At 40.6% G+C, this 18450-nt stretch overlaps 1 protein-coding gene across 2 annotated transcripts in view; it reads left to right on the top strand.

The window, feature by feature from the left end:
- RAB10 (RAB10, member RAS oncogene family) overlaps window positions 1–18450 on the top strand; it is a 104170-nt gene that overhangs the window by 69552 nt on the left and 16168 nt on the right. For both annotated transcript variants that reach the window (XM_047443004.1, NM_016131.5), the window contains exon 3: window positions 6932–7070. In XM_047443004.1, coding sequence (XP_047298960.1) covers window positions 6932–7070 — 139 coding nt within the window. The remainder of the gene's footprint in view (window positions 1–6931; window positions 7071–18450) is intronic.

The following is an 18450-nucleotide window of genomic DNA, read 5'->3' on the forward strand; positions in this document are numbered from 1 at the left end:
GTTTTCCTTGTGAAGCAGCTTTGAGTACTGCGTAAGCACAGATAAATATTAACTTGAGAGCTCTTAATACCATAGAGCATCTGTCTGCAAAGATGGTCTTGATTTAGAGCATTGTTAGGACATCTTAAAAACATAGAATGAAATTTTGAGTCTCACGTTGACATTATTGCAGCCTTGCATATTTTTATGGAAAATACTTCTTATTGTTCATTATCCCTCCTTATTGTTTATAAGTGAAAACAACAACAACAACTACTAAGGTCCAAGGAAGCTAAGTACATTCAAGGTCACTAAGCTGGGAGGGGTAGAACCTGAGGATAAACTTAAGCCTGACCCCAAACCCATGTTCTGTGTATATTCTTGCATAATGCCCAACCTATAGTAGACATTCAGTTAATATTCGGATTGATGGATAAATGAATAGATGGCAGATATGTGAACATGCTAAGTGCATTTAAGATATGAAAAGATTTTGAGAAACCAGTCATATGCAGGTAGTGGGAACAGATCTTGCAGAAGCTCTTAGTAGGAACAAACTTACGAATTTAAAAATGGTTTCTAGTGATTGGGGAAAAGAGTACCTCAAAATGAGAGGGGCTGGAGAAGGGTTTAAACTACTGTAAGGCTTTGTAATCCCCAGAATAAAGAGTTTGGAATTGATTCTGGTTATAATGAGTTTTTATTGGAAGTTTTCTGTTTTTACTTTTATTTTTTTGGAAAGCCTAGTCATATTTTCAGTTTGTTTTATAATGACTTTTTTATACATAATTCACATACCATACAATATACCCATTTAAAACAATTTAATAGTTTTTAGTATATTCACAAATTTGTACAACCATCGTTACCATTTCAGAACATTTTTATCTCCCCTCCAAGGAAACCCCATACCTGTCACTCTTTATCCTCCCAATTCCCTGGCCAGGGAAACCACTGATCAACTTTGTCTGTATAAAATTTCTTTATGTGGACTTTTCAAATAGATGGAATCATATAATATATGGTCTTTTGTGACTAGTTTCTTTCACTTAGCATGAGGTTATCAGGGTCTGTCTGTGTTGTACATGAATCAGTACTTCATTCTTTTTTTTTAATGGCTGAATAATACTCCATTGTATGGATATACCACATTTTATTTATCCGTTCATTAGTAATGGACCTTTCAGTTGTTCTGCTTTTTGGCTATTATGAATAATGTTGCTGTGAACATTCACGTCTACGTTTTTGTGTGGACGTACAAGTTTTCATTTCTTTTGGTTATATGCCTAGAATTGTTGGATCATATGGTACCTCCATGTTGAACATTTTGAGGAACTACCTGACTGTTTTCTAACATGGCTGCATCATTTTACATTGTCACCAACAGGGTATAAGGGTCCCAATTTCTCTACATCCTCACTAACGTATATTGTCGTTTGGGTCATAGCCATCCTGTGGTGGTGGGGAGCTAGGTTGGTATCTCATTATGGTTTTTATTTGCATTTCACTAATGACTAAGGATGTTGAGCATCTTAAGTGTTTATTGGCTATTTGTGTATCTTCTTTGGATAAATGCCTGTTTAGATCTTTTGCTGATTTTTAAGTTTGGTCATTTGTCCTTTTATTGTTGAGTTGTAAGTTATTTGTATATTCTGCATACCCAAGTCCCATATCAGATACACAAGTTTGCAAATAGTTTCTTCCATTCTGTGGGTTGTCTTTTCACCTTGTATTGTTCGCTGAAATACAAGTTTTTAATTTTCACGTCCCATTTACCTGTTTTTTCTTTTGTTGTTTGTGCTTTGGTGACATGTGTAAGAAACAGTTGTCAAATCCAAGATTTGAAGATGACCCCTATGTTTTCTTCTAAGAGTTTTTATAGTTCAGCTGTTGGATTTAGGTCTTGATCTGTTTTGAGGTAATTTTTTTTTTTTTTTTTTGAGATGGAGTCTTGCTCTGTCGCCCAGGCTGGAATGCAGTGGCGCTATCTCGGCTCACTGCAAGCTCTGCCTCCTGGGTTCATGCCATTCTCCTGTCTCAGCCTCCTGAGTAGCTGGGACTACAGGTGCCCACCACCACGCCCGGCTAATTTTTTGTATTTTTATTAGAGTTGGGTTTTCACTGTGTTAGCCAGGATGGTCTCAGTCTCCTGACCTCGTGATCCACCCGCCTCGGCCTCCCAAAGTCCTGGGATTACAGGCGTGAGCCACCGCGCCCTGCCATTTTGAGGTAATTTTTATATATGGTATGGGGTAGAGGTCCAACTTACTTCTTTTGCATGGATATATTCAGTTGTTCCAGCACCATTTGTTGGAAAGCCTGTTTTTTTTCCCCAATGAAGATATTAGAAGTTTTAAGCAGAATAATATGATCAAACATAATGTTTAAAGAAGATCACTCTGGCTGGTGTGTGGAGAACGGCAGTCCATCATCTCTGAATCTTAGAATGCCAACAAAAGGTATTGTTAACAAGCAGCCAGTGACTTAGAATGAAGACCAGAAACTTATCCAAAGAGTCATGAGAATAAAGTGTTACAAGAAGAGAATGCAGTCGGCTGGGCACAATGGCTCACACCTGTAATCTCAGCACTTTGGGAGGCCGAGGCAGGCAGATCACCTGAGGTCAGGAGTTTGAGACCAGCCTGGCCAACATACATAGTGAAACCCCATCTCTACTAAAAATATTAAAATTAGCTGGGCGTGGTGGCACACACCTGTAATCCCAGCTACTTGGGAGGCTGAGACAGGAGAATCACTTGAACCCGGGAGGTGGAGGATGCAGTATGCCGAGATTGTGCCACTGTACTCTGTGAGACTCCGTCTCAGGAAAAAAATAAAAAGAAAAAAGAGAATGCAGTCAACTGTGTAGAATCCTACTTAGTGATTAAGATGCAGTCATACAGTGCATAATGATATTTTAGTCAGTGACTACATACACAATGGTTGTCTTATCAATATTGTAATACCACATTTTTACTGTACCTTTTCTATGTTTTGACATATTTAGATACACAAATACTTATTGTGTTATAGTTGTCTACTGTATTCAATATAGTCACATACTCTACAGGTTTGTAGCCTGGGAGCAATATGCTATATACCACATAGTGCAGGTATGTTGTAGGCTCTAATCATTTAGGTTTGTATAAGTACGCTCTATGATGTGTGCACAATGATGACATAGTCTAATGATGCATTTCTCAGAATATATCCCTGTCATTAATAGGTGGATGATATATAAAGAGGAAATAGCTATTGGGTTTGGCATCCAGGTTATTGGAGACCTTCTGAAAAGGAGTTTTGATAGAGTAATCAGTAATAGCAATCCTATTAGAATCAGTTAAGGACTGAAAGTGGGAAAACAGCAACTGGAGAAAACTCTTTAAAGAAATTTGCTGGGAAAATTTTTATGTAAATATAGACAAGCTTATCCTAGTATTTATATGGGAAGGCTAGGGTAGCTAAAACAATTTGACAAAGTAAAATAAGTGGGAAGAATCAATCTATCTGGTTGTAAAGCTTTTTATTTAACCATAGTAATCTAGGACAGTATGGTAATGGAGGAGGCCTAGACACATAGGAGATTGCAACAGAATAAAGAACCCAGACACAGATTGAACTGTGGTATGGCCTGCAGATTTTTGACAAAGGTACAAAAGCAATTCAATGGAGCAAGGTTATTACTTCGACATTTCAAGCAAATGGTGCTTGAGCAATAGGACATTCATAGAAATGTCCTATTTGAAATTAACTCAAAATGTACCATCGGTTTAATAAAACCATAAGGTGGCCGGGCACGGTGGCTCACGCCTATAACCCCAGCACTTTCGGAGGCTGAGGCGGGTGGATCATCTGAGGTCAGGAGTTTGAGATCAGCCTGGCCAACATGGCAAAACCCCGTCTCTACTAGAAATACAAAAATTGTCCAGTGTGGTGGCACACGCCTATAGTCCCAGCTCTTTGGGAGGCTGAGGTTGGAGAATCTCTTGAACCCGAAAGGCAGAGGTTGCAATGTGCCGAGATCACACCACTGCACTCCAGCCTGGGCGACAGAGCAAGACTCTGTCTCAAAAAAAGAAAAAAAGACCCATAAGGCTTTTAGAAGAAAATACAGGAGAAAATCTTTGGAACATAAGACTACGTGAAGAGGCTGGGTGTGGTGGCTCACGCCTGTAACCCCAGCACTTTGGGAAGCTGAGGCGGGCAGATCATCTGAGGCCAGGAGTTCAAGACCAGCCTGGCCAACATGGCGAAAACCCATCTCTACTAAAAATATAAAAATTAGCTGCATGTGGTGGCACGTGCCTGTAATCTCAGCTATTCCAGAGGCTGAGGCAGGAGAATCTCTTGAACCTGGGAGGCGGAGGTTGCAGTGAGCCAAGATCGTGCCACTACACTCCAGCCTGGGCAACAGAGCGACACCCTGTTTCAAAAAAAAAAAAAAAAAAAAGACTAGGTGAAGAATTCTTAGACATAACACTAAACACATGATCTGTAAAAGAAAAAAAAATCAGTAAATTAATTAGACTTTCACAAAATTAAAAGCTTCCTCTCTACAAAATACCCTGTCAAGGGAATGAAAAGACTAGCTACAGACTTGGAGAAAATATTTACAAGCCAGTGTATCTGACAAAGGACTTCTGTATAAAAAGAACTTTCAAAAGTCAGCAGTAAAAAGACAAAAAAACTGACAATCCAGGCCAGCCACGGTGGCTCACGCCTGTAATCCCAGCACTTTGGGAGGCTGAGGCGGGCTGATCACCTGAGGTCAGGAGTTTGAGACGAGCCTGGCCAACATGGTGAAACCCCATTTCTACTAAAAATACAACCGTTGGCTGGGCGTGGTGGTGGGCGCCTGTGATCCCAGCTACTTGGGAGGCTGAGGCAGGAGAATCACTTGAACCCAGGAGGCAGAGGTTGCAGTGAGCCGAGACTGTGCCATTGCACTCCAGCCTGGGCGGCAAGATCGAAACTCTATCTCAAAAAAAAAACCCCAAAAACAAAAAACTAACAATCCAATTAGAAAATGGGCAAAAAAAAAAACCAGACATTTCACCAAAGAGGACATGTGGATGGCAAATAAACACATGAAAAAATGTTCACCATCTTAGCCACAGGGAAATACAGATTAATGTGATGATGAAATATTACTATGTGCCCTCTTAGAACTACAGAAATAAAAAAGTGACAGCATCAAATGCTGGTGAGGATGCAGAGAAACTGGATCTTTTATATGTTGCTAGTGCAAATGTCAAGTGATAGAGCCACTCTGGAAAAAGTTGGCCAGTTTCTTACCGTTATACACTTACCATATTACCCATAAATAACATTCCTGGGCATTTATTTCAAAGAAATGAAAAATTATGTCCACATAGAAACCTGTAAATGAATATTCTTCGAACTTTGTTATAGCCAAAAACTGGAAACAACCCTGAATGTCCTTCCATGGGTGAATAATTAAGCAAATTGTGATACAGACATACCATAGAATGCTACCCAGCAATGAAATGGGACAGACCAGGATTATGTGCAAAACTTGAGAGGACTTCAAGAGCATTATGGTGAAAGAAGTGTTAAATGCCGATTTCAAAAGGTAGCATACTACATGATTCCACTTACGTAACATTCTGGAAATGAAAAAAATATAAACATAGAAAACAGATTATTGATCAGAGTTTAGGGACTATGGGGAGTAAAGAGGTGATGTAATAGTTCTTTGTCTTGTGGTAGTTACACAAATCTGTACATGTAATAAATTGTAGAGAACTATATATACACACATACACAAATAAGTGCATGTAAAAAAAAAAAACCCTGAAATCTTAATAAGGTCTGTAGATTGTATCCAATGTCCATTTTCTGGTTTTGCTATTATGCTGCAGTAATATAAGATGTTATCATTAGGAAAAGCTGGGTGAAAGGTACCCAGGACCTCTCTGCACAGTTTTGTAACTTCCTGTAAGGCTGTAATTATTTCAAAATAAAAGTTTTAAAAATATTAACTCGAAAGAGGAGCAGGGATAGTTGGAGAGATACAGGGTTGAGATTGGGGTCTTTTGCTTTATATTTATTTATTTATTTATTTATTTATTTATTTATTTATTTATTTATTTTGAGACGGAGTCTCGCTCTGTCACCCAAGCTGGAGTGTAGTGGCACCATCTTGGCTCACTGCAACCTGTGCCTCCTGTGTTCAAGCAGTTCTCTTACCTCAGCCTCCCGAGCAGGTGGGATTACAGGCACGTGCCACCATGCCGGGCTAATTTTTGTATTTTTAGTAGAGATGGGGTTTCACCATGTTGGCCAAGTGTCTTGAACTCCTGACCTTAAGTGATCTACACGCCTCAGCCTCCCGAAGGGCTGGGATTACAAGTGTGAGCCACTGCGCCCGACCTTATTTTTGCTTTTTTAAAAAAGATACTAAAACATGTTTGTAAGCTGATGAGATGATCCATAAAAGAGCAAAATGATGATACAAATGAGAGGGCATAGTTACAGGAGCAAAATACATCTTACACCTTTGGCTTTAAGCATTAAATAATGGAAAATACTACTATTTACATTTCTGTCTTATTATTTATAAGTGAGGTTATCTTTACAACTTTTGGTTAATGATTCTAAATGTAAATATGACTGTACTATGGTATAGTTCTCTAATGTTCTAAAAATCCTACCTGCTTTTGTGTTACATTATGGAACTAAATTATTAAATAAAATGAAATTTTAAGAGTTTCTATGGTGTTTGCTAGTGCTTATTCAATAAACTTGAGTTTTATGTGTCACTTCCTACTGTTTTCCCTTTCAGATTTTCATCCAGTATGGGTAGGTTATTAATTTCCTTCAACTAAAAAGTTTTTATATATACTTAGGAAAAACTATTCTTGTTTTGTCCTTTATGTGAAATGTAGTAATATCAAAATGCTTAATAGAAATTATTGGCTGTTTATTTCAGGGATACAGCAGGCCAGGAGCGATTTCACACCATCACAACCTCCTACTACAGAGGCGCAATGGGTATCATGCTAGTATATGACATCACCAATGGTAAAAGTTTTGAAAACATCAGCAAATGGCTTAGAAACATAGATGAGGTAAGACCTAGAACTTGTATAAACCCTTCATGAACACACATTTGTGTGCTTGGTTAGGAAGAATAAATATTCCAACTGATCTTCAGGATATAATGTACTGTTGAAGTCATTATTATTGAAGTATTTCTATTTTCTAAAAGTTAATGTTGGCCGGGCATGGTGGCTCATGCCTGTAATCCCAGCACTTTGGGAGGCTGAGGTGGGAGGATCACCTGAGGTCAGGAGCTAAAGACCAGCCTGGCCAACATGGTGAAACCCCATCACTACTAAAAATTATAAAAATCAGCTGGGTGTGGTGATGTGCACCTGTCGTCCCAGCTACTCAAGAGTCCAAGGCAGGAGAATCTCTTGAACCTGGGAGGTAGAGGTTGCAATGAGCCAAGATTGCGCCACTGCACTCCAGCCTGGGCAACAGAGCAAGACTCCGTCTCCAAAAAAAAAAAAAAAAAAGTTAATGTTGTTATTTGCTAATTTTTTCTTAAGTTTTTGGACAGTCTATCTAGAGCCCCATTCAAGACAATTAGTAAATTACTCCAAAACTCTGTATAGCCATCTTACAAGATGACCCCAAATAGAAGCTACCAGTGATTTTACAATGATTTTCTGGAAATGAATTTTTTCTTAATAAATTTTTATTGAATGAATGAAATGTCCGGTAGTAATTTTTTAAAACTTTATTTTTCATGTTATAGAAATATAATATTGCTTCTAGGCATTTTGAAATATATGGAATACTAATATAGTAAAAACCTAACTAAGAAAATAGTTCCATTGCATGTGAAAATGTTGTTTTTTTTTCTGTATTTTGGGTTTTTTTGAGATAGAGTCTCACTTCATCACCCAGGCTGGAGTGCAGTGGCACAATCTTGGCTCACTGCAATCTCTGCTTTCTGGGTTCAAGTGATTCTAGTGTCTTAGTGTCTTGAGTAGCTGGAATTACAGGTGTGCACCACCACACCCGGCTAATTTTTGTATTTGTAGTAGAGATGGGGTCTCGCCATGTTGGCCAGGCTGGTCTTGAACTTCTGGCCTCAAGTGATCTGCCCACCTTGGCCTCCTGAAGTGCTAGGATTGCAGGCATGAGCCACTGCACCCAGCCTGATGTTACTTTTTATAAGTTAAAATTATGTATCAAAGCATGTCTGTTTCTTTGCTACAGCATAGGTGGCTTCTTGTTAAGAGTTGTTTTTCATGCCTTATTGCTACCTTCTAGGCTTTGAGTTTTGTTAACAGTAACTCTTTGAAGCAAATTTTGGCCAGATACACAAAGACCAAGTCTTAAACCAATATTAGACCCAAGATAATACCCCTAATGGTAGCAATCCTAAGGGCTCATTACCACTGTTTTGTTGCTACAATAAATCTTTGGGAGAAGCTTATTATTTTTTAATAATTATTTAAAGATACACAGATCTTGGCTGGGCGCGGTGGCTCACGCCTGTAATCCCAGCACTCTGGGAGGCCGAGGTGGGCGGATCACCTGAGGTCAGGAGTTCGAGACCAGCCTGACCAACATGGAGAAACCCCGTCTCTACTAAAAATACAAACTTAGCTGGGTGGGGTGGCACATGCCTGTAATCCCAGCTACTTGGGAGGCTGAGGCAGGAGAATCGCTTGAACCCAGGGGGTGGAGGTTGCAGTGAGCTGAGATCACGCACCATTGTACTCCAGCCTGGGCAACAAGAGCGAAACTCCATCTCAAAAAAAAAAAAAAATACAAATCTTAAAACAAAAAAGCTTTATTTTGATTTCCTTATTCTTTATTTTATTGTTCAGGTAAGTAGTCTGTAGTAAGAGCAGTTTAGAGATTCTGCAGTGTGTTTCCAACAACCACCAATTCTCTGATTCTACCACATGAACTGGTGTCCTGCTATTCAATGCTATTCTGACACTGACTACCCTGAATTAGTATCAGACTCCACAAGTTTAAGGACTCATTCCTACAAAATTGCCCTCACTTGAGATGCCATTTGCAAGTCCTGGGTCCCCAGGCTTACCCACATTTCTGCCTTCTGTCCAAGCTGGCTATAGATTTTGGGGATGCCAACAATGCCACTCCATGTGATCATTTGCTAGGGTGAGTCATAGAACTTAGGAAAATGCTATACTTGGGATTACAGTTTCATTATAAAGTATACAATTCAGGAACAGCCAAATGGAAGAGAGGCATATGTGGGGAGTAGCGGCAGGGCTCCAGAGCTTCCATCCCCTCTCTGGATACGCCACCTCTCCCAGCACCTTGATGTGTTCACCGAATTGGAATATTCCTTACCCTCAGTTTTTCAGATTTTTGAATTGAAGTTCCATCACTTAGGCATAATTGATTAAATCATTGACTTCTGGTGATTGAGTGTAATGTCTGTCTCCCTTCCCCTCCTAGGAGGTCAGGAAGTGGGACTGAAATTTCCAATCCTCTTATCACTTGGTTGGTTCCTCTGGAGACCAGCCCCCATTCTGAAGCTAGATAGGAGCCTTGTCATCAGTCACCTCATTAGCATAAACTCATTATAGTCAAAAGAATCTTGTTATGAATAACAAAAGACAACCCTGTCACTCAGGAAATTGGGAGGTCAGTGACAGGAACTGGGAACAAAGACCTAATATATGTTTTTATTATACCGCAGACTTAAACATCTGACATGGTAGACTGGATGGTTTGTTTCCCAAGATAAACTGAGAAACATACAACCCAGGTATCAAAAAGGAAAATTGTGGGTGTGGTGGTGTACACCTGTGGTCCCAGTTACTTGGGAGGCTGAGGCAGAAAGATTGCTTGAGCCCAAGAATTCAAGGCTGCAGTGAGCTATTATCATACCACTGTGCTTCAGCCTGGGTGACAGAGTGAGACTCTGTCTCTGAAAAAGAAAAGAAGTTATTTAAAAAGAAAATCTTGGCCAGGCGCAGTGGCTCATGCCTGTAATCCCAGCACTTTGGGAGGCTGAGGCAGGCGGATCACCTGAGGTCAGGAGTTTGAAACCAGTCTGGTCGACATGGTGAAACCCTGTCTCTATGAAAAACACAAAAAATTAGCCGGGCATGATGGTGGGCACCTGTAGTCTCAGCTACTCAGGAGGCCAAGGCAGGAGAATCACTTGAACCCAGGAGGCGGAGGAGGTTGCAGTGAGCCAAGATTGCACCACTGCACTCCATCCTGGGCAGCAGAGTGCAACTCCGTCTCAAAAAGAAAGAAAGAGGAAATCTTGTTTCTCTGGTGTATTAAAGGATTATATAACATGATCAAGAGGAACTTACCCAGGAATGCAAGGGTCAGAACCTGTCAATGTAATACACCATATTAATAGACGACAAAACCATACAGTTATCTCAGTTCACACAGAAAAAACATTTGACAAAATCCAACATTCTTTTATGATTAAAACAGTCAGCCAAACGCAGTGGCTCACACCCGTAAATCCCAGCACTTTGGGAGGCCGAGGCAAGTGGATCACCTGAGGTCAGGAGTTCGAGACCAGCCTGGCCAACATGGTGAAACCTCGTCTCTACTAAAAATACAAAAATCAGCCAGGTGTGATGGCAAACACCTGTAACCCCAGCTACTCGGGAGGCTGAGGCAGGAGAATCGCTTGAGCCCAGGAGGTGGAGGTTGCAGTAAGCCAAGATCGTGCCATTGTGCTCCAGCCTGGGCGACAGAGCAAGACTCTGTCTCAAAAAAAAGTCAACAAACTAGGAATAGCAAAGAACTTCCTTAATCCTGTAAGTGACATCTATAAAAATACCACAGCTATTATTGTACCTGTCCCCTAAGATCAAGAGCATGGCAAGAATATCTACTCTGGCCACTTCTGTTCAACATTATGCTGAGTTCCAGCCAGAGCTAAAAAAAAAAAAAAAAAGAAAGAAAGAAAAAAAGCCATCCAGAGTGAAACAACTATTTATAAATGGTAGAATATTTTATATAGAAAATCCTTAAGAACCCACAAACATATACCCAGAAAACTCTTAGAACTAATAAACAAGTTCAGCAAGGTTACAAGAAATGAGATCAACATATAAAAATCAGCTTTATTTCTGTACACTAGCAATAACCTAAAAATTACATTGAGAATAAATTTCCATTTGTAATAATATCAAAAGGCAAAAAATACTTAGGAGTAAATTTAACCAAAAGAGTGTAAGACTTGAACACAGAAAACCACAAAATATTGTTGAAAGAAATTAAAGATCTAAATAATTAGATAGCCATTATTTGTGAATTGGAAGACAATATTAAGATGGCATTACTACCCAAAGTGATCTACAGATTTAGTGCAATCCCTATCAAAATCCCAATTGCTTTTTTAAAAATTCCCCCCCGTAGAAATTGACAAATTGACCCTAAAACTAATATAGAAAGGCAAGGGACCCAGAGTAGCCAAAATAATCTTGAAAAGGAAGTACACAGTTGTAAGATTTATACTTTCTGGTTTTAAAACTTAACCGCAAAGCCACAATAATCAAAACACTGTGATACTGACATAAGGATAGTCATAAAGATTGATTGAATAGTATTGAGAGTCTAAAAATAAACTCTTACATATATGGTCAGTTGACTTTTAACAAGATGGCTAGACAATTCAATGGGCAAAAGAATAGTCTTTCCAACAAATGGTGCTGGGAAAACTGGCTATCCTTGTGTGGAAGAATGAAAGTTAGACACCTACTTCATACCATACAGAAAAGTTAACTCAAAATGGACCACAAAGGTTGGGTATGGTGACCCACACCTGTAATCCCAACATTTTGGGAGGCCAAGGTGGGTGGGTCGCTGGAGCCCAGGAGTTTGAGACCAGCCTGGGCAACATGGTGAAACCCCATCTCTACAAAAATATACAAAAAAAAAAAAAAAAAATTAGTCGGGTATGGTGGTATGCACTTGTAGTTCCAGCTATCTGGGAGGCTGAGGTGGGATCACTTGAGCCCAGGAGGTCGAGGCTGCAGTGAACCATGATTGCATTACTACACTCCAGCCTGGGCAACAGAGTGAGACTCTGTCTCAAAAAAAGAAAAAAAACCAAAAAGGATCATGGACCTACATGTAAGATCTAAAGCCATGAAGTGGCAAAAGAAAAGAAATGGATAAATTGGGCTACATCAAATTTAAAACCTTTGTGCTTTGAAGGTTCTACCATTTAGAAAGTAAAAAGCCAACCCACAGAATGGAAGAAAAGAGGACAGACTCTAACAAGCGTTCACAAAGATGGAGAGAAATTGTAACCCTCATATATTGCTGGTAGAATTGTAGAAAGATGCAGCTGGTTTGGAAGATATTTTGGCAGTTCTCAAAATGGTTAAACATACAGTTACCTTATGACCAGCAGTTCTACTCTTAGGTATTTACCCAAGAGAATTAACAATATATATCCACAAAAGGTGTACACAAGTATTTATAGCAGCATTGTTCACAATAGCCAAAAAAAAAAACCAGAAACAACCCAAACATCCATCAACTGATGAATGGATAAATAAAATGTGTATATTCATATAAGGGAACATCACTCAGCCATTAAAAGGCATGAAGGACTGATACTTGGTACAGTGTGGGTGAACCTTGAAAACCTTATGAAAGAAGCCAGACATAAAAGGCCTTACATGATTCCCTTTAAATAAAATGCCCCAAATTGACAAAAACATAGAGACAGAAAGTAGATTCATGATTGCCAGGTGCTGGGGGTGATGTTTGGAGAGAAAAGAGTGGTTGCTATGAGTACAGGTTTATAGGGGAGTGATAAAAATATTATAAAGTTAGTAGTGGTGATAGTTGAACTGCCTCGTAAATAACTAAAAAAACACTGAATTGTATATTTTTACAGGGTGAATTTTATGATATGTAAATTATAAACTCAAAACTGTTATTTTTTTAAAAACTGAATTGAGCTTTAATACCTTTCCTTACAATTACAGTTGACCCTTGAACAATGTGGGTTTGAACTACACAGGTAGAGTTGTTATTACTGTTTTTTTTTTTTTTTTTGAGACGGAGTTTTGCTCTGTCGCCCAGGCTGGAGTGCAGTGGCGCCATCTTGGCTCACTGCAGTCTCCGCCTCCCTGGTTTAAGTGATTCTTCTGCCTCAGCCTCCTGAGTAGCTGGGACTACAGGTGCATGCTGCCACGCCCGGCTAATTTTTTTTGTATTTTTTAGTAGAGATGGGATTTCACCATCTTGGTCAGGCTGGTCTGGTCTTGAACTCCTGACTTCGTGATCTACCTGTCTTGGCCTCCCAAAGTGCTGGGATTACAGGCATGAGCCACTGCGCCCCACCAGTTGTTAATATTTTTTAATTAAAAAATATTTTTGAGATGGGTGTCTCACCATGTTGCCCGGGCTGGTGTTAAAACCCTGAGCTCCAATAATTCTCCCATCTCAGCCTTCCTGGTAGCTAGGACTACAGGCATGTGCCACCATGCCTGACTCACAGGTCCACTTAATATACATTTTTTTCAACTAAAGGCAGATTGAAAATATGAATTTTGATACTCACATATAATATAGGTTGGTGTGGAGCCTTCTTTGTATATGTCTGTTTCACAGGGCTGGCTGCAGGACTTGAGTATGCATGGATTTTGATAAAGGAAGTAGGGTCCTGGAACCAATCAGCCATTCCCCATGGAGACTGTATTTCTTTTCTTTCTTTCTGTCTTGTGTTTTTTTTTTTTTTTTTTTTTTTTTTGAGACGCAGTCTTGCTCTGTCGCCCAGGCTGGAGTGCAGTGGCGCTGTCTCAGCTCACTGCAAGCTCTGCTTCCTGGGTTCACACCATCCTCCTGCCTCAGCCTCCCGAGTAGCTGGGACTACAGGCACCCGCCACCGCACCCAGCTAATTTTTTGTATTTTCAGTAGAGATGGGGTTTCAACGTGTTAGCCAGGATGGTCTCGATCTCCTGACCTCATGATCTGCCCACCTCGGCCTCCCAAAGTGCTGGGATTACAGGCGTGAGCCACCACGCCCGGCCTTTTTTTTTTTCTTTTTCTTTTTTTAAGAGAGAGGGTCTTGCTGTGTTGCCCAGGAGGCTGGTCTCAAATTCCTGAGTTAGCTGGACTTCAGGCATGTGCCACTGTGCCACTCTTTGTATTTCTTTAGCAAAAGGAGACAAATACAAGTTTTCTGTTCCTTGGAATAGAGATAAGAAGAATTTATATACTCTTAAATCTGTGTTTTCTGAAGCGTGTTCTACTTTTTAGTAGTATTACTTGGCATATGACATTCTGTGGACAAATACGTTAAATAGGTATTTTTATTCAATTTTTATATGCTTTAGTGTGTTGCGAATGTCCAAGAGGGGGAGTTATTATATGAAGGTTTTGAAACTTGTTGAGGTGAAACTTTACATCAAGGGACAACTCTTGGGATCAGTGTTTTTGAACTAGGCTGGGGATGCAGCGTAAACAACATAAATGATCCCCTACTTAGTGTTAAGAGTTGGGAAGGTCCGGGTGCGGGGGGCTCATGCTTGTAATCCCAGCACTTTGGGAGGCCGAGGCTGGCGGATCACCAGGTCAGAAGATTGAGACCATCCTGGCTAACACGGTGAAACCCCGTCTCTACTAAAATAAGAAAAAAAATTAGCCGGGCATGGTGGCGGGTGCCTGTAGTCCCAGCTACTCAGGAGGCTGAGGCAGGAGAATGGCGTGAACCCAGGAGGCGGAGCTTGCAGTGAGCCAAGGTCGTGCCACTGCACTCCGCTCCAGACTGGGCGACAGAGCGAGACTCCGTCTCAAAAAAAAAAAAAAAACAAAAAAAACAAAAGAGTTAGGAAGTACAAAGTTGTTAACATGTAAATAAAACAAGTACCTAACTAACATAGCCTGGGAGGTGAGAGGAGCGACTTTAAACTGAGACCTGAGGAGATGAGAAGTTACCCAGATAAAGATGGGACTGATAAAAAAGTGCAGTGGATTCCAATTTAAGAGAGATCATATATGTTAATTTACTTTGGGTAACTGGGGAACATAACTACCTTGGCTATAGAGATATTTAGAGAAACGTACTTTGGACCAAATAACTTAGCTTAGGAAGGACAAATCCTTAGGAAACCCAAGTCTCAGATTATTTCTCTAATAGATATAAAAAGATGTTCTTTTTTTTTGAGACGGAGTCTTGCTCTGTTGCCCAGGCTGGAGTGCAGTGGCGCAAATCTCAGCTCACTGCAAACTCCACCTCCCGGATTCAAGTGGTTCTCCTGCCTCAGCCTCCTGAGTAGCTGGGATTACAGGCGTGTGCCACCACGCCTGGCTAATTTTTGTAATTTTAGTAGAGACGGGGTTTCACCATGTTGGTCAGGCCAGTCTCGAACTCCTGACCTCATGGTCCGTCGTCCTCAGCCACCCAAAGTGCTGGGATTACAGGCGTGAGCTACCACGCCGGCCAAAAAGATGTTCTTTTAGCTCCAATTTTTACAAAGTAACGTCCCCTCCTCCCCCTTTTTTTTGAGACCGGGTTTCACTGTTTCCCAGGCTGGAGTGCAGTGGTGTGAACACAGCCCACTGTAGCCCAGACCTCCCGGGCAAATAAGTGCTTTAAAAAAAAACAAAGGCCGGGGGTGGGGTGGGGGTGGGGAATTAACAGGTTCTCATGTACCTAGTCAAATATCAGAACAACTATGAGGCTTATATTTGTGAAATATATATTGGTTTCTGAATGGTTTCATTATTATTAAACTTCAACATCCTTTTAAAGTATTTGTTGTTTCTATTTAATGATAGACAGTGATCTCTAAATCTGTGATTCTCAGTCAAGGACAGTTTTACATTTGTCAATATGTGGAGATATTTTTGGTTATCACAGCTTGGGTACAAGAAGAATGCTAACCCAGAATGCTGACCCAAAATGTCTGTATGGCCGAAGTTGAGAAACCTTGGTCTAAATGCACCTCTCTGTATTAGTACCTTGGGAAAATTAACCATATTTTAAGCTAGTTACAGTCTGCATGTGTGATTCATAGAGATATGTGTCCTCCTGCATAAACATGTCTCTTTATGGATATGTCTGTGTGGTGCAACTACCAATCTTTCTTTGGGTGTTTTTGCCGTAAGTGGTTGTAAACACAATGCGTATCCGACTGAAAAAAGATTAATGTGCATGTTGGCATAAGAAAATGTATGAGAGAAGTTCTGTGTATTCTGAGTGCTGTTTTATTGGTCCCCTGGCTCAGCAGTGAAGTCTTTAACCTCATCATGCTTGCTGCTTATTGTTAGTAAGATCATCCAAGTAAGGATGTATAGGGCTGTGCACGGTGGCTCACACCTGTAATCCCAGCACTTTGGGAATCCAAGGTGGGAGGATTGCTTGAGTTTAGGAGTTCGAGACCAGCTTGAGCAACATAGCAAGACCTCATCTCTACTAAAAAAGTTTATTTTTTAAAGTCGGATATGGCGGTGAGTACCTGTAGTCCCAGCTATTTGGTAGGCTGAGGTGGGAGGATCACCTGAGCCCAGGAGATCAAGGCTGTAGTGAGCTGATTATAGCAGTGCATTCCAGCCTGGGTGACACAGCGAGACCCTGTCTCAAAAAAAAAATAAATTTTAAAAAGAGTTGTATAATACTATTTTGACCTTTGTCTTAGTTTTTGTGTTTTGTTATTCAAAGAAGTGTATCCCAAGTCTTTTCAGGTCTTAGCTTTGCTTTTTTTTTTTTCTTTTTAAAGACAGGGTCTCACTCTGTCAGGTTAGAGTGCAGTGGCACAATCACAGCTTACTGCAGCCTCTACCTCCTGAGCTCAAGCTATCCTCCCAGCCTAGCCTCCCAGGTACCTAGGACCACAAGCGTGCTATATCATGTCTGGCTAATTTTTATTTTTGTGGTGATGGGGTCTTACTGTGTTGCCCTGGCTGGCCTCAAATTCTTGGGCTCAAGCAATCTTCCTGCATTGGCTTCCCAGAATGTTGGGATTATACACATGAGCCACTGTGCCCAGCAGGCTTACTTTCAAATATATTTTTGAGCTAGAATTATATTTATGCTCTGAAATGGTACACATGTATAAAGAATTATACCTATTTCCTCACTAGCCCCAGAATACTGATGTGAGTTGGCGTGGAGGTGTAGTAGGTTGTAAATTGGTGGTCTGATTGCTAAAGCTTTTTTAAAAAACAGGCTGAAAATATCTTAACACTTATAAATTTATATATAAGGTAATTTTCCCTTTTTTATACTTCATTGATCATTTATTTATTGGCTTCGGCTTCGTTCCATCAGCCTGCTTGCACCTAACTTACAGGTGTTCTTAGTAGAACAGTGACTTCTAAAGCTACAGATAATTTATCTTCTCTTTGAGTGGAGGTTCATGTTAGTGGCTCTGGTAACTTGCAGTGTTTAGGATGTGGGTAGATTATTACAGGTCACTGTGATAATTTGTCCATTTAGCAGCTGGGAGCTTTTAAAACCATGCTTCTGTACTTCTTTGGGATCATGGACCCCTTTGAGAAATTAGAATCTTACCAGAATGATGTACTTATACAACTTGCAAAGTTTTATGTGTGCTCCTTGGAATTATTGATGTCCCCGAAGTCCATCCTTAGATTCTGAGATCAAAATGCCTCTTACTTTTAGCACATGGCAGGATTTTAGGAGCACCTGGTATATTGCTGCTTATTACTGGATATTTGCCAAGTTGCCTTTGTTTTAGCAGTAACATAAATTAAGAGGCACTAAATTCAGATAAGACCATGGAATCCCTAAATAGGGAGTTTCTTTTTTTTTTTTCTTGAGACGGAGTCTCGCTCTGTTGCCCAGGCTGGAGTGCAGTGGTGCTATCTTGGCTCACTGCAAGCTCTACCTCCCGGGTTCACACCATTCTCCTGCCTCAGCCTCCTGAGTAGCTGGGACTACAGGGCGTCCATCAACACACCCAGCTAATTTTTTGTATTTTTAGTAGACACGAGGTTTCACTGTGTTAGCCAGGATGGTCTCAATCTCCTGACCTCGTGATCCGCCCGCCTCGGCCTCCCAAAATGCTGGGATTATAGGCATGAGCCACCGCATCCAGCCAGCGAGTTTCTTTATAGTATATTATAATTTTTTTTTTCCCGAGACAAAGTCTTGCTCTGTCACCCAGGCTGGAGTGCAGTGGTATCATCTCAGCTCACTGCAACCTCCACCTCCTGGGTTCAAGTGATTGTCCTGCCTCAGCCTCCCAAGTAGCTGAGATTACAGACGTGCATCGCCACACCCGGCTAATTTTAGTAATTTTAGTAGAGACAGGGTTTTGCCATATTGGCCAGGCTGGTCTCGAACCCCTGACCTCATGTGATCCACCCACCTCAGCCTCCCAAAGTGCTGGCTTTACAGGCGTGAGCCACCACATGCGGTATAATTTTTCTTTGTTAAGCTTGTGATTCTACTAAGGGTATCGTCCTTGCAACAAAAGAGTTGTTTCCTCCCTAAT

This window comes from Homo sapiens, chromosome 2, assembly GCF_000001405.40.
Source record: "Homo sapiens chromosome 2, GRCh38.p14 Primary Assembly".
NCBI classification, from domain to species: domain Eukaryota; kingdom Metazoa; phylum Chordata; class Mammalia; order Primates; family Hominidae; genus Homo; species Homo sapiens.